We start from the raw sequence: 25,022 nt of genomic DNA on the forward strand, positions 1-25,022 counted from the left end.
AATAATGGTCACTGAATAAATGAGTAAATGCAATTTAAAGTAAGTAAATTTAGATGTCAGAAAGGAAATCTTGTTTGTCCTGATTTAGGGCTGAAAACATCACCGTGTATTTAGTAAATGTGCAATTAACCCTTACCGACCCTAGCAAGCCACTGGTGGTCTTTGGGATCCTGCCCAGAGGGAAGCGCTGCCCCTCATGGCTCCAAGCTCCAGTGGCCGTACCAGAAGATCAGGGGTGGGGGTGCCGTCATGAGCAGGATGAGGGCAGCACCCCTGAGAGCCGCTGCATGCACAGGGCTCAACAGCAAGGGTCATGCTGAGTCAAGCGTTCAGTGAATACCCCAGGACCTTCATGTGGGTGACTGAGAACTCATACTTGGCTGGTCCATAGTCAGTGAGAAATGAGGAAAAGAAACAATGTCATTTTACAGAGAAAGGGAAGGGTTGAGCCATTGAGAGTTTTTTATTTCTTTCATTTTTTTAAATTAAATTAAATCTATTTTATTTTATTTTATTTTGAAATGGAGTCTCGCTCTGTCGCCCAGGCTGGAGTGCAGTGGCGCTCTCTTGGCTCACTGCAAGCTCCGCCTCCTGGGTTCATGCCATTCTCCTGCCTCAGCCTCCTGAGTAGCTGGGATTACAGGCACCCACCACCGCACCTGGCTAATTTTTTGTATTTTTAGTAGAGACGGGGTTTCACCATGTTAGCCAAGATGGTCTCGATCTCCTGACCTCATGATCCGCCTGCCTCGGTCTCCCAAAGTGCTGGGATTACAGGCGTGAGCCACTGTGCCCGGCCAGTTGCTTTCATTTTTTATACAGAGTCTCACTGTGTCTCCCAGGCTGGAGTAGGTGGCTCGATCATGGCTCACTGCAGCCTTGATCTCCTGGGCTCAAGTGACTCTCCCACTTCAGTCTCACTACTCGCTGAAAGTACAGGCATATGCTACCAGCAGGCCCAGCTATTTTTTTTTTTTTTTTGTAAAGATGAGGTTTCACCGTGTTGCCCACGCTGGTCTTGAACTCCTGGGTTCATATGATCCTCCCGCCTCAGCCTCCCAAAGTGCTGGGATTACAGGTGTGAGCTACCACATCTGGCTGAATTTTTAATTTTTCATGGTGGTAAGATATACATGGCATAAAATTCACCATTTAAACCGTTTTTAAGTGTGTAGTTCAGCAGCATTGTTTCACACTGTTGTACAACCATCATCCCCCTATCCATCTCCAGAACTCTCATCTTCCCCATCTGCAACTCAGTGCCCATTAAACGCTAAATCCCTGCTGTCCCCTCTGGGCCCTTCCAAGTTTGCACTAGGACCACCCTGTCTTTCTACCAAGATGCCGAAGACTTGACAGTGATCACAGAAACCAAGGCCAGGAAATCCTCACCAAATACTCTTGACATATTGGTAAGCAACTGGGGGGCCAGAAGTTTCTAAAGGTCCTCAAAAAACTGCATAAAAATCACGAATCCTAGCTAAGAGGCAGTGGGTAGAGAAGATGAGGTCTGAGACAGCCTCTCCACGAGGCCTGTGATTGTGGGGGAAGGGGGCTTCACAACAGGGTCAGCATGTGGATGGCAGAGGGCTGGCTTTAATCCTATGCCACTGTGGCCCTGGGCACTGGAGTGGCGGGTTCTGAGGCCTGTGCAAGAGCACGCGGTAAAAGTGGCTATGAACACCATGCTCCATTCCAAGAGCGTCAAATGCAGACCTATGTCACTAACTCCTCAGTGAGTGATGATGCAGGTACTGTTGTTATTCTCATTTCAGATAAGGAAACTGAGTAAGTGGCAGAGGAGCCCCAGGCAGGCAGCCTGCCCAGGCCCTCAGACGTCATGACTCCAGGAAGTGGCACCAAGGTGAGGGGCTTCCTAGACTGGCAAGGTAAACTGTTCAAATTATTCCCCAAAACAGAATGCTTTCCACTCTAGAGCCAGGGAATTGTCTGCACCTCCACAAGATTCCATGTTACCATATTCTAAATGATGTGGGCAGGCAATGTGCTATAACAGTCCTGAGCATGGTCTGTGGCATCTCCTGGGAGCTTATTCGAAATGCAGAATCCCAGGCCTTGCCCCAGACTTAAGAGTCTGCATTTTAACCAGACACCCACCCCTACTCCACCACCCCACAATCCATGTGCAGTTCTAGGAGTGAGCGTCTGGAGAAGGCAGATGCTGGAGTGGAGGCCAGGTCTGACCCCAGCATCTGACTGTGGACAAGTGATGCAGCCTCCTTGGGCCTCTCCTCTTAGTACAGTGAAGGTACTTCTTCTCTCAAGGAGTTCTGGGGGTTAAATATGCTAATGTAAGTCAAGTATTCAGCACGGTGTCTGACATACAGGGTGCTCAGGAAGGATGGGCTTCCTGAGGACAGCCACACAAAACAAAACAAAATCATTATGAAATTGATGAAGCATGTAGAAATTTGATCAAAATTTCCCTTTGCATCTGGGAAAAATGCACTAGTAGGTTTTAAACAGCATTTTTTTTTTTTTTTCAGAAATGATCTGGTATAACAGTTACACATAGAAACAGTAATTGAACCAAGATGATCTGGGATGAGCTTAAAGTGCAGGACCTATCTATACTAACGAAACAGGAAAGTGTTTATCAGAGCAAAATGTACCACGTGTCTGTGTAAGTCTTAATACTGTAAAGCTACCCCTTATCCTGCAATTCATCAATAATCAGCACAGACCCCATCAACACTTTATGTGGGTTTTTTTTTTGAGATTTGACAAAATGATCCTAAAGTTGATCATACCCATGCAGGTGTACTAGACCTGGGCACACATTTATTCGCTCTTCTGCATGTGTGTTATATTTTAATAAAAAGGCCACCCACACACATGCACAATGTTATGGCCAATGCATGAGAAAGATCAAAGAACAGAGAAGCAAGTAAAGAAACTACACCATGTATGATAAAAATGGAATGGACAGTCAATGGAAAAGATGTGGTTAGAATAACTGGTTAATATTTGGGGAAAAAACACAGTTAGATATATCACTCTTTACCCTCCAGAAAGTTGTAGCTAGAGTAAAGTTTTAAATGTCAGAATTGTGCAAAAATGTAGATGTGTAAGTTACAATCAACTCATGTAATGTAGATGACCTTGGGGGAAAGAAAGGCCTTTCTCAAATGATTGCAAGGCTAGAAGCCAGCAAAAAAAGAGGCTGACAGATATGACAGAGAAAAATTGTGTGGCAAATGATATATAAATATCATTGAAAACAAAGTGAAAAATAATAAACTGGGAAAAATATTTCCAACATGAGAGAAAAACAGATTCAATGGCCTTAATATATAAAGAACTCTTAAAAATAAATAAAGACACATGCTCCAGTAGAAAAATGGGCAAAGGTGGAAAGTTTACAAAAGACACACACGGCCAGTAAGCATCTCCAAAAAGCAGTGTGTGGCATGCAAATTAAAACTGCAACTAGCAAAGATCATACTGGCATCAATCAAAAGAGAAGACTTGCTAAAAAATCTAAATAGAATCCACTTAAGCTTCTACATCAACTACCAATTTGTAGGAAACACAGGTCAGGGAAGCAGATAAAACCTCAGGGAGATATAATTAGCGAAATCAGCACAAACTCTATAATCCAGTTAGTGGAGGGGAAAGAGAGAGAGAGAGAAGATCCTTGCATAGAGAGAGATACTTAGGAACCCATCAGCTTGTCACAGTGTGTGGCCCTGATTCGGATCCCAATTCACACAAGTTGTAAAACACAAAACAAAACAAAATCATCATGAAATTGATGAAGCATGTAGAAATTTGATCAAAAGCTAGCTATTTCATGATATAAGGAATTACTGTAAATTGTGTGTTAGGAGTGACGACTGTATTGTGGTTTTGCTTTTCAAATGTCTCTTTAGGAGAGACATTGAAAAAAAGCACAGCTGCAGTCATATTCTGTCTGGTATTTGCATCTAACAGTGGGACCAGGTGGGAACAGGCAGGCAGGACTGGCAGTGGCCGATCATCACTGGAGCTGGATAAGAACTGACGGGGTTCCTTGTCCTGTTTGTTTGTCCTGCCTACTTTTGTGGGTGCAAAGTGCTCCATGCTAAAAAAAAAAGTTTCTGCCAATGTTCGTGCACAGGGACAGGACATGGGCTCTTGGTACCTTTCCAGAGGGCAGAAAACCAGAAGGTGCCCTCTGCACCAGCAGCACAACTTCTAGAATGTTCTTTTGAATATAATTGCAAAACTTTACAGAATATAAGGATGTTTAGACAGCAACTTCTATAATAGCAAGTAGATAGATACAACCTAAGCACTCATTATGAAGGAACTGGGTAAATGTAGCATTTCCATTTAATGGTATACTGTGTAATCACTTAAAATGGTAATGATCACTTAAAATGGTAATCTAATATATATTAATTGACATGAAAAGAGTTACATGATGTTAACATTAAAAAGTATGTGCAGCCGGGCGCAGTGGCTCACGCCTGTAATCCCAGCACTTTGGGAGGCCAAGGCGGATGGATCACAAGGTCAGGAGATCGAGACCATCCTGGCTAACACGGTGAAACCCCATCTCTACTAAAAGTACAAAAAAATTAGCCGGGCGTGGTAGCGGGCACCTGCAGTCCCAGCTATCGGGAGGCTGAGGCAGGAGAATGGTGTGAACCTGGGAGGTGGAGCTTGCAGTGAGCCGAGATCACGCCACTGCACTCCAGGCTGGGTGACAGAGCGAGACTCCGTCTCAAAAAAAAAAAAAAAAAAAAAAAGTATATGCTAGGCCGGGCGCGGTGGCTCACACCTGTAATCCCAGCACTAGGAGAGGCCAAGGTGAGCAGATGGCTTGAGCCCAGAAGTTCAAGACCAGCCTAGGCAACATGGTGAAGCCCCACCTCTACAAAAAATACAAAAATTAGCCAGGCGTGGTGACACATGCCTGTGGTCCCAGCTGCTCAGGATGCTGAGGAGGTACTCATCTGGGCCCGAGGAAGTCAAGGCTGCAGTGAGCCGTGCTTGCACCACTGCACTCCAGCCTGGGTAACAGGAGTGGGACCTTGTCTCAAAATAAAATAAACTATAAATTTTAAAAGTACATGCTTGGGAGCATATATTCACATAGAAAAAATTTTGAAAGGACGCACATCAAAATGTGAACATGAGTTACTTTTGAGTAATGGGATTATGGACGACTTAGTTTCATGTTTATCTAAAATTTATAATTAAAAATTTTTTTCTTTAATAAGTATGGATTTCAAGTATACTTTTTGTTTTAAAAACAAATTTGGAAATAAACTATATTTTTGAAGGAGGAAAAACATGTCAAATGATGTTAACACATCTTTGTTAACCACTTACCATGCTTTTGAATGTTCTAAAATGAGTTTCGTAAGTTGTTGGTTTAGAAACCATTACAAACTTACTTTGTGAAATTATTAAAGGTACGTTTTGACATTTTTAGCCCCTATATCCCCCCAAAAGCAATAACAGATTATAATTAAAGAACAAATTGAAAATTTATCTAATGGACATACAGACACATCAATGCCCAGTCTGTTTCCTCAGGGTGTAAGAAAATGTCTTTTTCCTCCTCTTTTGACAAGAATACAAAGATGAAGCACTTTAAAGGGATAATCCCATTTCACGCTCGTCATGGGTGCATCAAGACCCAGTTTAGTGAAATCTATGCAGGTTTTGCCTATTAGCTAATCTGTTTTAGTACCTGTGGTGCTGACAAATTAATTTGCCAGGGAGAAACAGTTCTGCACGGGGTGAGCTCCTCCAGGTAATCCCAGCAGGAGGCGGGTTGGGCTGGAGAGCAGAGACCGTCCTGTGGCCAGGGATGACTCTGGAGCCAGGGAGGTGGGGCTGAAGGCCAGGATGGATGCCAGGGCAGCTGTGACAGCAAGTCAGGGGGTGGGTGGAGGGCGGCTGCCAGGGGACAACAAGGCCACGGGCAGGACCTCTGTTCACACGAGGCCAGAGTAGGATGGGACTGAGGTGTGGACCACACCTAGGAAAATCTGGAATTTCTGAGCCTTCTATTTCATGGCCTGTACTAAAATGGCTGAAAACACCAAGAAAATGTTGCCATCCCCCTTTTTAGGTACCCAGTCACAAGCTCCTCCATTCCCTTCACAGTCTGGAAAATCCAGCACCTGGATAAAGCTGCTGGTTCTCCACTGTGGTGGTTAATATCAAGTGTCAACTTGATTGAAGGATGCCAAGTATTGATCCTGGGTGTGTCTGTGAGGGTGTTGCCAAAGGAGATTCACAGTTGAGTCAGTGGACTGGGAGAGGCGGACTCACCCTCAATCTGGGTGGGTACCATCTAATCAGCTGCCAGCTTGGCCAGAATAATGCAAGCAGGAGAATGTGGAAAGACTAGACTGGCTGAGTCTTCCAGGCTTCCTCTTTCTCCCGTGCTGGATGCTTCCTGCCCTTGAACATCGAACTCCAAGTTCTTCAGCTTTTGGACTCTTGGACTTACACCAGTGGTTTGCAAGGGCTGTTGGGCCTTCAGCCACAGACTGAAGGATGCACTATCGACTTCTCTACTTTTGAGGTTTTGGGACTCAGGCTGCCTTCCTTGCTCCTCAGCTTGCAGACGGCCTATTGTGGGACCTCACCTTGTGATCATGCAAGTCAATACTCCTTAATAAACTCCCCTTCACATATACACTTATCCTATTCTGTCCCTCTAGAGAACCCTAATACACCCACATTCTGGCCAGTTACACCTCATCCCTTTCGTCCTTGTCACCTGGGTCATCAGGTTTTGTGAGCTTTGCTTTTCCAGAACCGAAGGCCTGCTTTGGGGTGGAGGGGCTGTGTACCAGGAGGGAGGGCACTGACACTGAGGAGTCACACTGTGGGCTAAGGGCAAACCCCAAGGGCAACCTCCCCACCACACAGATGGGAACCAGAGGCTCCAAGAAGTCTAAGGACTCATCAAGGTCAGGTGGAGATGGTCGGTGGAGATGAGATGGGAACTCACGTCTGTCTGACTCTGAAGCGGGGGCATTTTCCTTGGGGCAGGAGGATGCCCGGGGACTGTTCTCTACAAAAGCCAGCTTCGTATGAACAGCTGGAGGGACGCGTGCCACGTCAGCTACAAAACACCCACCTGACACCGGGTGGACACCTGCTCTCTCCATGAACGAGGGTGAGAAGGAAGAGTTTACACACAAAAAAGAACATGCTGTCCATCTAAGAGTTTTCTTTTTTTCCCGTAAAAATTAGACGTGTATCTCATTTTGGAAAAGAGAAGAACAAACTAAAGCTCTTCATAAAGATCTTTCGTAAGGCTACAAACGCCAATACCTTCTCCCTCTTTCCCGGCTTTGGTTGTTTGGCACGAACTGGCATTTTTTGATCGAGTCATAGCTCTGGGATCTTACCCAGGCTTAATGAAGACGTGTCCTGTAATTCTGGATCATCCATATCCCAGGTGGTGCTGTACTGGTTTCAACACCTTGTCTTCCTCTGCTCCATCTTTCCCGTATGGAACTCTCCCATGACCGAATGCCATGATGACTTATAGAGGGGGCTCTTCCCACATCAGTGCCGAGGACACTCCCTGGAGGGAGCACATTCCCTGCAGATAACGTGATGCGGACAGGAGCTTACAAACAGGACATCTCAGGAAGCTTTCAAACCCAGAGAAAATAATGCCAGCCTCACAGTCAGACGATACATTGAAAACCCAAGAGAAAATGAGTAATTTCCACTTGAATATAAAAGGGATTCTGTCTCTGATAACTTCAGTTGGGGAACAGATTGGACACTAGCATTTAGTAAAATTCACTCCAAGATTAGAACATTTTAAATATAAAAATAAGCCTTTTAATGAAAGAGTGTGTAAATAGCCCTGGGTACATCCACAAAACAACGAAAAAGCATGATGGCGGGGCTGCGTCTGGGTGGGCCTCCATAGGCCATGAGTGCCCAAGCTCATAGGAAGTTTGATACAAAATTTTTTGACTTGTAAATAATGCAATTGATCTCCCTCTCAACCAGGAACATTCGAAAGGAGGCTGTAGTACGTAGTAAGGATTTGGGGGCTCTTTTGAAGTGATGTGGATTCTCCTGGCTCTCGTGCAGAGGATGGTGGATTTACTAGAATGAAAGGACAGACAAACCTCCCCCCACCCACAGAGGACACCGGGCTGCTATTTGAACAGGTAAGTCCCCAAACCCATCTGTAGGAGATTCACATTTGCTGCAACATGAAGGGTTCAAAACCAAAACTGGGACCTTCTTTTTTCCAGCTTGCATCTTCTAATGATTCTTGGTATGGCTAAAATGTCCCTACAAAGATAAAACAGCACATTGCGGGAATTAATTTACCTTGGCCAAATTAATACACCTTGGCTATATATACATTTGCCAACACAAAGCACTACATTTAAAATGACTACTTGTAAGTGATAACTTAATTCCTGAGGTATCTGTTTATAGATATATTAATATATATTACATTATAATTAAGATATTTAAAGCATTTCCAGTAGTGACTGGTACACAGAAGACTTTCAATAAATGTTACTTCCCTTCTTTCCTATAGTACTTTGAGGAATAGCAAGAGAATGAAAATACTATTCATATATTCATAAAATAAATTTTTAAAAAAATGTCTAAATATTGAATCAGGATTCAGCACAAAAGCAACACAAAAGTGGCTCCTCTCACCAGGGACATCCGGGAGTAAGAGAGGCTCACGGCAATCCCCACCAGGGCCCCTCCGGCCCCCAACCCATTTCCTAGAGCAGGCCTCTCATCTCCTCACCTTCACCCGCAGAAGTAACTGGGAGAACCAGATGGCTGGGGATAGACAGTTGGCCAGACACTGTACCACTGTGCAATGAGAGGCTCGTCAGCATCTAGGAATCTCTGTCACACTTGGCCACATATCCTGGCACATAGCAGCGTGGCACTCTGGCCCACAGGCAGAGACAGGCACAGCCTCCCTGTCCTGAAAGGACTCCACCATCAGGGCAACAGGCTCCTGAGCTGGCTGCAGCCCAGGAAGGGTGGGGTAGGCTGGGCAGTGGGGAAACAAAGAAGTCCAGTTCTTGATGATGTCCCTGCTTCCTGGAAGGCAGGGGCTGCCCTGACCCACAGGGACCAGACAGGAGAGACTCTGAACTTGCCTGGAGGGATTATCAGACAGCAGAGTACTGACGTCAGATACTGATGGCTCCTTCGAGTGATCAGAACGAAATGCTACAGGAGCCAGGGAAGACAGCACGTGACCCTACCTGGTGAGGGGCCTGAAGAAGGCTTCACACAAGACAGGAATCTCGGGTGGGCCACGAAGGAGCAAGAGAATCTTTGGAGGTGGGAAGGTATACCTCAAGCAGTAAGCACAGTACAAGGTCAGACTGTTCCAGGATCGGAGAAGCTGTGGCGGCTGGAGCAGGGGCTTGTGGCGCACATGGCAGGGATGGGAGCAGCTGTCTGGGAGGTCAAGCAACACTGAGATTTGAAGGGCCCTGGATGCCATGGTGAATACAGGTGCTGCATTTACTCAACAGGCCTGCGCTTCCCAGAATATTCCCAGAATCACATGTGTAGCAGGTATCCCTTTACAAAAGGACATTTTGGAAACCAGTTTCTTCATGCAATTCTCGAGGTCTTTCACAGTCTAATGGACATCAAGTCTCTAAAAGGCAGGGGAAAGTATGTAGCATTTCCTGAACTTCTCTGGACAAGAACCTGTTCTGTTGGGAGACTCTGAACGCAGGAGCCCAGCTGGCAAATCACGGCTCTGGGCTGTGCACTGAAGGGGCAGAGTCAGTGGAAGCCTGGGAGGCTCACTTGGAGGTGCCGTGGGGTGCGCAGACCCAGGAGGCAGCAGGCGTCTCTTAGGGAAGAGACAGGGGAACTGCAGGGAAATGCTGTTTAATTCATTTCGTCATCACCAACCACAGAACTTGAAAAACACAATGATTTCTTTTTTAAAAACAGCTATTCACTGAGGTGACTTATTCCTGACGCATCCTTCCCTGCTCTGTTCAAGGAGGGGTATACCTGGAAGACATGTTTGAGACAGAAAGGATAAAACGTGGGGACAAAGAGCCACATCAATTTGAGGACTGAGACCTGGATTTTTTTTTTTTTTTTTTTTTTTGAGACAGGGTCTGGCTCTGTCACCCAGGCTGGAGTGCAGTGTCACAATGATGGCTCACTGCAGCCTCAGCCTCCTAGGCTCAAGAGATCCTCTCATCTCAGCCTCCTGAGTAGCTGGGACTGCAGGTGCTTGCCGCCACACCTGGCTAATTTTTTTTTTTTTTTTTTTGGTAGAGACAGGGTTTCATCATGTTGTCCAGGCTGGTCTAGAACTCCTGGCCTCAGGCGATCCACTCGCCTTAGCCTCCCAAAGTCTTGGGATTATAGGTGTGAACCAACGCAGCTGGCCAAGACCCAGAATCTTAGACACAAAGGAACCTTTAGAAATTGCTCTTTAGACCTTTTGCCCCGGTGTGATCTCAAGCCCCCGCACCATTCTACTCTCTCTTAGACACAAAGGAACCTTTCGAAATTGCTCATTTAAACCTCTGCCCTGGCATGATCTCAAGTCCCCGCATCATCCTACTCTCTCTTCTTGACACGTCCCAGTTTGTCTCTGTCTCTCTCAAAGCAAGCAGCCCCCAGTGACACCCAAAGAGAAGCCTCGTACTGACCCCAATCTAGACTGGGGCTGGGCCAGTGGGACCTCAAGTCATCAGACTCTGGGACTCACAGATGGCCCACACCAGCCACCAGAGGCAGGTCTGACGAGGAGCATCAGGCTCATTGTGCCTCGACTGTGAGTCTTACTGCAGACAATTAAAATGCCTTGCCTCCTGTTTGGTCAGGCTTGAAAAGTGATTTGATCAGCAATAATGGGAAAACCCTTTTCCACTTTTGGTAAAACACAATTCCACGGAGCAAGAGAACGATGTTTGTGAAGAGGGAGTTTTTATTTGCTTCTAACCTTGGAATGAAAAGGGCCCAGGGCCAGCTGCTTCTGGTTGCACCTGCTGCCCAGCGCCTTCTCCTCCACACCCTTGGGGCACACGTGTGTGGCCTCAGCCCTTCTTTCATCTCTCACTGCAACGGCTTCTTTGTGGGGTTTGCCACCACGCATGAACTCCCTCAAAACGTCCCCCTTTCCTTTTTGGAAGCCTTCCTCGCTGGGCTCTCCATGACCTCTCTGTGGAGCCGGAAGGACAGCAGGGCCAACAGGGACACACCTCACTCCATCTGGGACCATTACGTGAAACACCCAGATTGATGCCCTCACCTCTGGTACATCTAGCTGCAAGTCATCCCTGTGGACTGGGGGAGGAGAGAACTGCACCCCACATCTCCTTCCCTTTTTGCTGAAGCCATTTTTCCTTAATGGGCAGAGCCCTGGCTGTGGCTAGCTCTCTGCTTCTCCCCGAGTACCTGTGTGACAGGATGACAGCAGCCCTCTGTGGGTTAAAGATGTTGACGATTCCTGCCATTACCATCTGCCAGAGGAGTCATTTTTTCTTCCTTTAACAGCATATTCGTCTTTACTACCACAAAACACTGTCCCTTCTCAAGAGAATTCTACAAAGGCCTACAGTAAAAGCTTGGACCTCTAAGACAATCATCCGTCTTTACCAGCATGCATCTTTGTATGATGAAATGTCTTTAGAGCACCTGCTGTGCCCTGTGCCGAGGGACACCTGTCACACCCTTGCCTCATCTTCCTCCCTTCCTTCTTGGAGGCGTCAACACTTGAAAGTGGGCGTGCACCCTTCTGTACCAGTCATAGCCCCAACAGGAAACAGATACATGGGCGAACAGGAGACCTCACAAAGGGGTTATTACAAAAGGATTTGTCACAAAGTTGTCCTGGGAGCCGCGAGGGACAGTGCAGGGGCCAGACCCAAGGGATAAAGGGCAGCAGCGGCTACCAGAACCTGGAAGGAGGAGATGACACATGCTGCTGAGTGACACTGGCCAGGGGACATGGCCACATACCCTGCCCTCGTTCTCCAGCCTCCTGTTGCCTGCCCCAAATCCCCCTAGCGGCTGAGCCCAAAGGGAAGTGGGAGAGCCCAGGTGCCCCCGGCACCCCCTGGATGTAAGCCATGCAGGCTGGCCTCCTGTGCAGATGCCAGGAAAGGTGGGCAGTGGATCTGACCTGGAAGGGCAAACAGAACACAAAGCCCAGACATGAACTTACCAGAGACTTCACCTCAGCCATTTTAAATATGGTCAAAGAACTAAAGAAGGTCATGGCCGGGCACGGTGGCTCTCGCCTGTAATCCCAGCACTTTGGGAGGCCGAGGTGGGTGGATCACTTGAGGTCAGGAGTTTGAGACCAGCCTGATCAACAAGGTGAAACCCCATCTCTACTGAAAATACAAAAGTCGCCAGGCATGGTGGCACACACCTGTAATCCCAACTACTTGGGTGGCTGAGGCAGGAGAATCGCTTGAACCTGGGAAGCGGAGGTTGCAGTGAGCTGAGATCATGCCATTGCACTCCAGCGTGGGCAACGAGAGCAAAACTCCATCTCAAAAAAAAAAAAAAAAAAAGAAGATTATGATTAAGAATTAAAGAAAAGCAGAATGATGTCTCACCAAATAGATAATTATCAATAAAGAGAGAATTTTATACATATAAACTAAACAGAAGTTCTACAGTTTAGAAGTATAAGTGAAATTAAAAACTCATTAACGGGGATCAACAGCAGATTTGAGCAAGCAGAAGAAAGAACTAGTGAACACAAAATCAATTGAGATTATCCAGTTTGAGGAACAGGAAAAAAAAAGCGAAGAAAAATGAACAGAGCTTCGAAGACACCTGTGCAGCTCCATCAGGTGTCCCAACACACCTCTAAGCGGGAGTCTCAGAGGAAAAGGACACAGAGAAAGGGCAGAAAGAGTATTTTTAAAATAATGGCCAAAGACTTCGCAGATTTGATTTGAAAACATTAATCTATATATACAAGAAACTCAATTAACTTCCACTAGCATGAACCCAAAGGGATCCACACCTAAACACATCATAACAAAGTGATCTAGAACCAAAGAATCTTGAACACAGAAAGGGAGAAGCGACATACTATGTGCAAGTGAGCCTCAGTGATACCAACAGCTGATTTCTCATCAGACATCATGGAGTGAGAGGCAGCCAGATGACATACTCCAAGTGCCAGAAGAAAGACTGTCAGCACCTGTTACTCTACTTCAAAACCATGTGGCCACATATGCCTTTCCTCAATATCCAACAAAACCAAACGACATTGAAATTATAATGATAGAGAAATTAAGACATCCCCAGATAAACAAAAACAGAAAATCTGTCGCTAGAAGACTTGCCTTACAAGAAATGCTGATGAAATACAGAACACTAGATAGTAACTTACATCCTCACGCTGCAACCATGTGAATGGAGTTTTGTTCTTCTAATTGACTGTTACCAGTAAGTAAGAGTCTATCTATTTTTGTGTGTTCATCTTATATTCAACAATCTTGCTGGATATTAGTTCTACTAGTCTATCTGCAGATTTTCTGGAAAATTTTTTTTTTAAGAGATGGGGTCTCACCCTGCTGCCTGGGATGGAGTACAGTGGCATAATCATAGCTCACTGCAGCCTCCAACTACTGGGCTCAGGCAATCCTCCTGTCTCAGCCTCCCAAAGTGCTGGGATTATAAGCATGAGTCACTGTGGTCAGCCTTGGATATTCTATGTAGATAATTATACCATCTGGAAATAACAATTTAGATTTTTCTCTTTCCAATTCTTATGTCCATTGTTTCTTTTTTTTTTTCTTATCACATTATGCCAGCTAGGAGCCCTAGCATACCGAGCAGAAGTGCTAATAGCATCCTCGTCCTTTTCTCTTCAACACAGATGCTTCCACTAAGTATCACGTCCTTAATTTTTACCAGAAGAAAGCCTTCTATTTCTGGTTTGTGGAGTTTTTAAATATATATCATGAATGGGATTCGCATCTGACTGTATGCTGTTGCTGCATGTAACAGATGATCTCTATTTTCCCTTTTATCAGACAATGCAGTCATTTTTCTAATGTTAAATCATCCATGTGTTCTTTCATACAGGGTTTTTAAAATCTGTAAAATCCCTGTGATGGGAGCTTTTTGATAACCTTCCCAGATCCTTCCATTGTTACTGATCTGATTCTGTTCTCTGTTCTTGAGTCAGTTTTGGTAACTGAATTTTCTGGGGTGGGGAGAGGAACCCCACTGCAGTGGCCATCGCACCCCCGGACCTGGTGCAGCCTGTCCACATGCACGTCACAGTGCAGTCCCCTTAGCAGCTCAAAGATGCATTCCAAGCTCTTCTGGCATCTATTGCTACTAATGAGAGATCTGTTGTCAAATTATCATCCCTTCATGCTTAGCCAGTCATTTCTCTCTAGCAGCTCTACACGTTTCTCTGCCTTTGATGTCCTCCAGTGTCATGATGACCTATCTATGTGTGGATACATCACACCCAAGACTCACAAAACTTAGGGGATAAAACATTAGATATCACCAAAACACTGCACCCTGAGCCCTTCCACTCAGTAGAAATAACGCCCTTATTTTGAAGTTGTTTACCACTCTCATAAATGTTTTTATTCCTTTAGTAGATATATATCAATGTTTCCCATGCTTAAAATTGTATCTAGATAGTATCATTCTACGTAGATCCTTCTGTAATTTCCTTTTTTCTCCATTTGATTTGATCCATTTTCACTGCTCTCTGTAACACTTCATTGAGTAAATCTATTGCAATTCATTTATTCATTCTATTGATGAACATTTAGGTTGTTTCTGGCTTTTCTTACTCTAACAGTGCAACAACAAATATTTTGTTTTGTTTTGTTTTGAGACAGAGTCTTGCTCCGTCACCCAGGCTGGAGTGCAGTGGTGGGATCTTGGCTCACTGCAACTTCCACCTCACAGGCTCAAGTGATTCTCTTGCCTCAGCCTCCTGAGTAGCTGGGACTACAGGCATGCGCCACCATGCCTAGCTAATGTTTTTTGTATTTTTAGTAGAGATGAGGTTTCACCATATTGGCCAGGCTGGTCTCAAACTCCTGACCTTAAGTGATCTGCCTGCCTCAGCCTCCCAAATACAACAAATATTTTGTATACACTTTCTTGGGCATCTACTAGGGTATACACCTAGGACCATATCTTCTAGCTTACCAGAAATGCCCACCATAAGCTTTACCCATGTACATGGCTTCTGAGGAAGTGAACACATCCTTTCACTCTACCTCACTCACAGTTATAGCACCATTTTTATTTTTGCTAATTTGATGGTTTAATTTGCAAGCCCTTAAATTACTAGTAAGGTTGAACACCTATTTATATTTATTGGCTATTTTGGGTTTCCTCTTCTCTGAACTGCCAGGTCATATACTTTGCCCATTTATTTACTGGACTGATTTGCATATTTATTCAAGAAACCCATCTTTATATTTTGTGCATTGTAAATATCTTTCCTGCAAAAAGCTTTTCTTAGACAATGATGAAAGAATTCTGATATGTAGCATGTCTTAATATATACAGTTATATTCTATATTTTTTTTTTGAGACACAGTTTCACTCTTGTTGCCCAGGCTGGAGTGCAATGGCACAATCTCGGCTCACCGCAACCTCTGCCTCCTGGATTCAAGAGATTCTCCTGCCTCAGCCTCCCGAGTAGCTGGGACTACAGGCATGCACCATGCCTGGCTAATTTTTTATTTGCAGTAGAGATGCAGTTTCTCCATGTTGGTCAGGCTGGTCTTGAACTCCCAACCTCAGGTGATCTGCCCACCTTGGCCTCCCAAAGTGCTGGGATTATAGGCATGAGCCACCGCGCCTGGCCGTCATATTCTATATTTTCTACTAACAATGTTAAAGGTTTTTCTTTCATATATAGGTTCTTATTAACTCCCACCCCCACCTCCCACCTCCTAGAATTGATTTTGTGTGAGGCAGAGATCTAATTTTATCTTTCCTCATATATGGATAACTAATTGCCCTGGCACAATTTATAGGTGTATGTAAATCTCATTTATAATGCCTTCAAACTGCCATATATGCATGTTTAAAGATCTCAATTTTATTTCATTGGTTAGTCTACACTTAGGCCAATTAACACATTGTCTTAATGGTCACAGCTTTGTAATATATCTTGATATCTGATGGATAATTTCCCTTGCTTGTTATTCTACTTCAAAATTGTTTGACCACATATGCCTTTCTTCAATTCTGGAAAATTCTCAGCCATTATCTTTTCAACTATTCTACTCAAACATTCTCTAAAGTCCTTCCTTCTGGATTTCCTAATGGGCATTCTCATTCTTTCCTCTATGACTCCTAATTACACTTTTATACTATCCATCTTTTTATCTCTCTTGCTGTGCTTGGGGGATTTATCCAGCTCTATCTTCTAATTCACTAATTCTGTCTTTAACTGTGTCTAATCTGATGACTTTTTAAAAAAACTTCAATGAACATATCATGCACTTTTAGTTCTTTTTAAAAAAACCTTCCAATTTTTTTTCAAACTGTCTTCCTTTCTTACTATGGCTCTATTTCTTCTTTAATCATTTTATAAAATAACTACAGGATACTTCAGAGACATGGCAGGCTTGGTTGCAGAACACTGCAATAAAGTGAGTCACACAAATTTTTTGGTTTCTCAGTGCATATACAAGTTTTGTTTACAATATGCTTGTAGTCTATTAAGTGTGCAACAACATTCTGCCTAAAAATATGTACACACCTTAATTTAAAAATACTTTGTTGTTTTAAAATGCTGACACAGAAGCATGAGATGAGGATATGCTTTTGGGACAATGGCACCAAACAGACTTGTTCAATGCAAGGTTGCCACAAATCTTCAATGTGTAAAAACCACAGTACCTTCAAAGCACAATAAAGTGAAGTGCAATAAAATGAGTTGTGCCCGTACTTTATATCCACCTTCAGGTTCTTCAATTATTTCAGATTGTTAGAGACTTTGATTCTACTGTTTATTTCTTGACCCCTCTTCTCACCATGGTGGTAGATTTGTTTATGTGCTTATTTTTCTAGTGTGATCTTATCCTCCGTGGGGGTTGTTTTATCTCCAAATCTCCTACACACTGGGTGGTGGAGGCATGCCTACAGGACAGTTCTGCACCTGCTGCCACCCAAGGCCTTCAGGACTTCAATGGGCTGCAACTGTTTTTATGGCAGGGCTTCTACTTTTGGTTCCTGTATGACTGAGATAAAATAAACTTGGAGCCCATACCCATGCATGGCCTGGTATTGTAATTTCCAGTCCCCTTTTAGGGTACAATCAGATCTTCAGGCTCTAAACTTTATGCAAGGATCCAAATTCTAGCTCCCACACCTTTGTTAGGCCAAAACCACATCTATCTCTGGACGTGAGCATTCCAGTTCCCAGCCCTGGGTGCAATCTAGGACCAAACCCAACAAGTACCCAGACCCAGGAACGGCCACTAAAGAGTGTGTTGGTCCCAACGGCACTACTTTTGTTTTCTCTCTTCGCCTATTACGTGATCAGCTGTGTGTTTTTTTTTTATCAGAGTCTACCTTGAGTCTCTGCAGCAGGAGGGGGACACATCTGTGTTGGTTTTATCTAACATGTTTGTAGGAAGTCTAAATTGAACTTGTTTCTTTTTTCTTCTAGTCATCTGAAGCCCCTCAGCTCCTTCAGTGCCAGAAAATGACCTAAATAACAGTTAAAAATTTTTTTAAAGGTAGTTTTTCAATATCCATATTCCAGAGAAAGTACTCACTGTCAGCTACTGCTAGATGCTAAATCTGAAGATTTTGTCAGTGGTCTATTCATACCCATCTATTCTGGGATTCGTATTTGGCTATACTGACACAGCCAGACTCTTCCATTCCCAGCTTATTCCCTCACAGTGTGAGTAAATCAGCCCTGTGTCTTAGCCAAGAGCTTCTCACTGTGTCCGGGGATGAAGTCCACAAAAACCCGCACTGTCACTGCCACAGTTCTCATAGGGTGTTCGAGCCTGACGCTGGGCCGCCAGTCTTGGGGAGTGATGCCGGCATGCTGACTGCAAACACACTGATCAGCCAAAAAGAGCAGAAAGCAGAGGGGGCTCCAAGCAGAGTGCTCAGGCCCCTGCCTCCCCATCAACCACGGTGCATGGCAGTCCAATGGCTTAGCCCCTGGGGACCTCACTTTCCTTATCTGTAAATTGACAGGGTTAGACCAATGAACTCCAGGATCCTTGACAAACCTGGGGGTAGAAATGCATGGAGCACAACTTGATTCTTACAGAATGATCAATGAAGTTCCCGTTGATCCCTCCATGATTGTGTTTTCTTCTCTCAGGACAGAAGAAGAAAGAACTGACAAGGATGCTTGCTATCAGCTGTGGCCGAGACAGGACACAAAGAGCAGGGCACTGCGCATCGATCTCTGTTCATCGATATCAGAACGTTACATTTCCATCTTTGGTCCCGTCCCCAGCTTGACACTCGGACCCGCCCTAGCAAGCACAGGCAGTGTTCTCAGCCGTCACTGCAGGCACCAGAGGAGGGCAGAGATCACTGGGTTCCAAGGCTTCCTGTTCTAGTGCAGTATTTATAGATGATGTAGGTGTAGAAAGCAATGACCAATAATGTACAAATATGTAAACAAAATAAACAGAAATACTTTAAAGGTAACCCATTTGGAGATAAAAAGAAATACAAAGAAAAAATGCATCCATTTAGAATCAGAATAATCATACTTTGGCTCCTCCTGGTGTCCCTACAAGGGAAAACTGAACCAAAACAATAGGTTTGGACCAAACACCTCCCTTCCCCTGCCCTCAATTTCTACTCCTACGTTGGCTGACTCCACACACACAGACATGCACACACACTACATATGTACACAGACACACACATGCACACACACCATATATACCACACACACAAATGTTGTCAGGCAATAGATTTCAATGTCAAAAAGTGAATAATACGGAGGCTTATTAAGACTGCTCCTTTGCTATTTGCCCTCAATGAAAAAAAAAAGAAAAAAAGATAAGGCTAATGACAATGCTGGTATCCAGAATCAACGTGGGGAGCGGAGACTCCATGGCACCAGGAAACACCATGTTTTGCATGCTGGCTTTTCAGTGGTAACTCCCTACCCGTTTGAGTAATAAAAACCAATAACCACAGATAAAAGGCAGCGAAGGAGCATTAGCGATGGGCAACATTGAAGGGCCTGACTGTATTTTTAACTTTCATGTCCAGGCTCTCGGGACTCATGTGGCTTATCACCAGGATCAGCCCTGCCAGCACTCTGGAGTGCCAAGCTTGCGGACTACTGACTGAGCCCTTGCAGGGGACAATACAGGCCCGGAGACCTCTGTTAGAAACAGCAACTTTCCTCCCCAGGAGAATCTGTCCATTCATTAGCTGATTAGCGCTGGTAAGAAAACAGAAACCAATCTAGGTATATTTCAAACAGAGGGACTGTAACAAGATTTGGCTACACAAATGATGGAAGAGATGAGAAGCCAAACGGGGGAGCTGATATGGTTCGGCTCTGTGTCCCCACCCAAATCTCATCTGGAATTATACTCCACACATGTTGGAAGGGAGCTGGTGGGAGGTGACTGGATCATGGGGGCGGACTTCCCCTTGCTGTTCTCGTGATAGTGAGTTCTCATGAGATCTGGTTGTTTGAAAGTGCATAGCACTTCCCCTCTGGCGCTCTCTCTCTCTCCTGCTGCCATGGTAAGGCATGCTTGCTTCCCCTTCACCTTCCACCAGGATTGTAAGTTTCCTGAGGCCTCCCAGCCATGCTTCCTGTACAGCCTGTGGAACTGTGAGTCAACTAGATCTCTTTTCTTTATAAATTATCCAGTCTCAGGTAGTTTTTGTGTGTGTATGTGTGTGTTTTTTGTTTGTTTGTTTGTTTTTTTTTTTGGAAATGATGGAGTCTCATTCTGTCACTCAGGCTGGAGTGCAATGGCGCAATCTTGGCTCAATGCAACCTCCACCTCCCAGGTTCAAGCGATTTTCCTGCCTCATTCTCCCAAGCTGGAATTACAGGCACCAGGTAGTTCTTTATAGCGATGTGAAAATGGACTACTACAGGAGCCAAACACTCACCAGGAGGACAAAGGGAGGAGGAGGTGGACCTCGCAAGAGATGGGCCCAGAGGGACTACTCTGCAGGAGCTATGTACTGCGGGAGGGCTAGAGAGAGAGAGAAATGCTCTGGCCTCCTCCTCCTTCTCCCCCACATTCCTGTGTCCCACCAATGCCTCACGTTGGCTGGATTCTCCCAGAAGTCAGAAGCAAAGGAGTCTGGGAAACAGTCTCCACAACACAGAGGAGGGGCAGACAAAGGAGGTCGGAGCTGAGAAAAAAACAGGCAACAGGCTGACCAGTGACCCAGTAAGATCTGAGGGTGGCCCCTTCTCCAGAGGATTCCAGCACTGAGAGGCTACAAAACGTCAGAGACCAGAGACCACTAGGAAAACACGGTGCTGAGGAAATATCATCATATCTCCCCTCAACCAATATCCTAAATCCTTTCTACAGTTCTCTGCCTTATAAGCCTTCCTCCCCTTTTCATGTACCTTCTTTTGATTATTTTGGAGACCTCTGGCAGACCCCTAAGGTTTCATTTAATTGCTCTGAATTTGCAAGGAGCAGCTTCATTTCCATTTCACACTTGGTTACCGTGTGGCCTGTGCACACGCAAGCCGCGCGATCCGGGAATGGAAGCCTGCAGCCTAGGTGACTGTCCAGCATGGGAGCCATTGGTGGCAGGAAAGGAAGCCTCCTAGCCATGGCGATCATCCTCTACGAGACTTGCAGCCCCAGACAGCACATGACAGGGAGAGCAAGCAGCCCGACCCTGGGCAGGAGCGGACGCCCTGATGCTGCAAGACTGGGTCCCACCACATTCATTTCGATCATCAGTAACATGAGCAGGGTGATTCAGGGCTACGAGGTGACGGTCCTAAATAATAATGTACAGCAGGAGATAAACCCTAACAGTAATTACTATAAGAAACCACCTCAGTCACTCCTGAAATAGTAACCATTGTAACAATGGTTACAATACGCCAGAATGAGTCAACAGAAATAGACCGAAATGCAAACTTGGAAAATGAGGTTGAAGAGGTCTACCGAGGAAGTCCTTGCATATGAGAAAATGTCAAAACCCTGTATGTGTGAGAAACAACTCAATCATAAACATAAGGAAAAGCTTAGGAACAGAAGGACCACCAAGCTCAGACGGCTATACTGAGAATTCAGAGCAGAACAGATCAGATTAGCTGACATCCTACGAAGGTCAAAAATACACTAGAGAATTCAGGATGCAAGGGAGCTTACTGGAGAACAGCCACCAAATAAACTGAGAATCACATGTAAGTTTCCCATTAGGAATTCCACACAAACTACCCCTCACATCACCTTGGCTTCTCTCTGACCAAGAGAACCATTCTGAGCTGCCTACGGGCATCATGGGAGAGTGGGCAGGCCCACGTGTAAGCAGGCATTTGTGAATGGAACTGCAAGTTTAATAAAGTCTTCTGAAATTTGGAATTGTGCCCCATTGGTGATTTATTGTTAAGCACGACTCCCAGGGATCTTGCATCTCTAAAAATACTATTTGCTTTTTATTTAACACTGAACCTTTTGATGTTTTATAATACAAAAATAGTGTCTTATTATTTTAAAAGCTTAGGAGAGAAACTAGCCATATTATTAGAAGAAGAAGATATATGCAGCTATAGTCTGTTCAAATATCAAGAGGTGTGACTTTTCAAATTCACATTTCAATCTTTATTTACATTAGACTTTCAGAAGTAGTGGGTGTAAATATTAAAACGCCCAAGCCTGGGTGAAATTTTATTGAGAATAACTACAAATAAAAGGAAACTGATTTTTTAAAGTCAGTTTCTGAAATTTAGATGAAAAGAATATTGAGTATTAACAAAAAAATGATATTTACATATCAATGAAGGTTTTCTGCTCATAGATTCATTTCCTACGAAACATAACAGAGGCAAGCTTGGGGAATTACAAAGAAAGGAAAAACCCTAATCAAATAGGTACTGTTGTTCAAACAGAATATTAGCCAAAATGATCCAATCAGTTGCTTGAACTAAATTTTTTTTTTCTTTAAGCCATTCATGCCAGAACACAAGCTCTCAAAGCAGTAAGAATCTGTACTACATTCCAAGTGTTTGCTTCCAACAGATGGGGGGATGTGAAAGATACATTCCATGGAAATGGGGTGGGGACAAAGAAGGCACCGGTCAGTCATCGGCAAACAAGGAATGCAACCCCAATGGAGGCATAGTTCTCAAAGTAAGCATTATTCGTTTGTATTCTAGGGTATGTTTAACAGTTACATGAATCAACATAAGCATACTAAATTCAAGTTGCTGGATCTTTAATTTCAACATTGTTCAGAATTACACCATAGAATGCAACATAACCTATGAAAATTTTTCTAAAGAGAGTACAAAAAGTAGCAAAGTATACCTTCATGGAATGAGTTACATACTAAACTTTGTTTTCCTATTTGTCTAAGGACTTCAGATAATTAGAGGTTCACCCTGTCATCAGACACGGTGATGGCTGTCATGGTTTCAGGTCTCCGTTTGAAACAAAATCAGTGCTTATCATCGTAAAACACAGTAGCTTACAGTATGTCAATTGAGGATCTCCATAATTTATTGACTCAATCTTTTGCTTATCAAAAACAGCAATACATTTCTCTAAAGATCTTTAGGGGGCAATCTCAGAAATACACATATACACACGCACAAATTCCTGGTTTCTAGGTGGAATTTAAATATAATTCTATTTTATTGCAATATTAAGATTCCAAATGTAAAATTAAAGAAACCCAAGAATTATAGAGGTTATCAAAGACATATTAACTTGTTCTTGGAGTAAGTTCAAAATTAATAACAAAGGTATTATTATGCTAATATATACTTTATGATATTCTGCCCAGTAGAAGAGACTGAGAATCTGACTCTGGCAGTTTCTGACCTCCCTTTACTTTGAATTAATGGTGTAAACACTGTGTTTGCTTCTGAAATCTGTGATTTATGTGAAGTTTATGATAGAAACATGCAAGAAAAGCATAAACAGGGAAAAGAAAAAAGCAATGTTGATTGCTATTTGGAAAATTAAATGAGAAAGATCTTTTCTCCAAGATGTCCTTAAATGATTCTCTATTTTAACCAAATCCAGTGGCCTGGTCCCTTTCCTAAACCCTGTTTTTTAGAAGGAATTTTAAATGTATTTGCAATTTATATTTCCAATCTGAAGCTGGACACAAATTAGTTTGTACACCGATAGAATGCTAAGAAAAGCTTAAATCAATTTTCACCTTTTTATTTATGTTCCTCATTCTTCAGAAACATAATTGCAGTTTTTATTAACTTTGTTTTATGGATCTAATATTTAAGAAGAAGTCTATCTTTTATGTCACAGCAAGAAGGTTAATGCACTTACAGATTCCCCTGCAATACATCTTGGGCAAGGCTGGGCTGAGCTCCTTCCACCATTCTGAGAAATCTAGTTAACAAATCACAGTTGCAGATATATCAGAACAATGATTATTTACACTTTCTATTAAAATATTTCAACATGCTCACAAGTAGTTTGGTGGGAAGAGGAACATACCCCTGTACTTAGCCTCCCCTGGCCACTCTCTGGCCTTGGTGCTGGGAGGCAGCCTCTTGATGGAAGCTCCCGGTCCTCTGGGCCCCAGGACGCCAGGGCACAGGCATTCACCTGGTGGCAGCCACGCTCATGCCCACTGGCTTCTAATCTCCTGCATACCCGTTTCTGAAACAAACAAAATTTTACTTTAGATGGTCTCATAAAGCACACAACACTCTAATTGAATTTGCTTTCAGAAAACTTCAGCTGCAAATACAGACCCCTGTGGAGCTGGAAAACTTTATAGGGCATTTGAGGAGATGACTTTAAACTTTATCTTTTCAGAATAACAATCATCCATTACATTTAACCTCATTATTTCTTGCATTGCCTGATATTTACTTAGCTTTATACATTTAAAACAGTCATTTCAAATAATTTTGGCTGAAACTCTTGTAATAAACTATGGTGACTGGTTTATTGATATTGAAAATGTGCAAAACCTATAAATTTTGTTCAAGAAACTAGTTATATGCTTTTGCTTAGTATCAAGTTACATACTTTCTTAATACAATATGAATAATTCACATGTGACTACTTCTGTGTCTCACTGGCACTGAAGAGCAAATTAATTTTATTTACAAAGGTTGCATACACAGTCCATAACTGATAACCTTTGGGAAAGTTAGCATTTGGTTTTTACTACTATGTGAACTAAAGAAAATAATTACAAAAGGAATCCTGTAATGCTAAAGAAAAAAAGTACTCAGTTTGAAAGTCCCAAGACTTTGTGTATTTTTAGGGTAACAATGTTGTAACTGACACAGAGTTTCAGAGGCAGGAGGACCTCTGTAAACAGTCATGGAGGCCACCCTGGCCCAGGGCGAGAAATCCACCCCAGGAGCCCTGGCAGCCAGCCCAAGAGGCCCCGCTGCTGGACAGCCCTGATGTCAGAACACACTTCATGGTACACTGGCATCTCCCCAACCTCTGCAGTCACTTGCAAACCACCTTTATCACTTTTGCAAAATGTGTTTATTATCCATACTACTATTATTTAATATATTATTAATGGACTTTTTCACTTAATGCATCTACACAATATAGAAACCTTATGACAGACTAGAAATGATGCATTAAAAATGGGAGATGAGGGAAAAGGAAGAGAGGAGAATTCTCATTACTGTATAGTTCATTATCATATAAGCAATAGGTGAGTATTAACTGATGCTGAAAAAACTGAGAATCAGACAATAAAGGGTTAAATAATAAAACAGGGGACCTAAGGATATTAAATCGGTTTAAATACAAATAATCACTAGAAAATACAAATCCTTCTACATCCAAAATTTTAAAAGAACAAGACCCAACTATACAGATGTACTTAAAATCAAGTGA

At 43.6% G+C, this 25,022-nt stretch overlaps 1 protein-coding gene across 6 annotated transcripts in view; it reads right to left on the minus strand.

The window, feature by feature from the left end:
• C10orf143 (chromosome 10 open reading frame 143) overlaps nt 1-25,022 on the minus strand; it is a 75,706-nt gene that overhangs the window by 20,967 nt on the left and 29,717 nt on the right. For 2 of the 6 annotated variants that reach the window (NM_001355042.2, XM_024448008.2), the window contains 3 exons: nt 23,646-23,810; nt 23,475-23,537; nt 7,805-8,292 (listed from right to left, as the gene is read on the minus strand). In NM_001355042.2, coding sequence (NP_001341971.1) covers nt 8,263-8,292; nt 23,475-23,537; nt 23,646-23,810 — 258 coding nt within the window. In that variant the 3' untranslated portion in view covers nt 7,805-8,262. Of the gene's footprint in view, nt 1-7,804; nt 8,293-8,770; nt 10,015-12,184; nt 12,518-23,474; nt 23,538-23,645; nt 23,811-25,022 lie in introns of those variants that run through there. The other 4 variants (XM_024448009.2, XM_024448007.2, NR_034125.2 and 1 more) reach the window with 3 other exon arrangements.

The sequence above is a fragment of the Homo sapiens genome, chromosome 10, assembly GCF_000001405.40.
Source record: "Homo sapiens chromosome 10, GRCh38.p14 Primary Assembly".
NCBI lineage: Eukaryota > Metazoa > Chordata > Mammalia > Primates > Hominidae > Homo > Homo sapiens.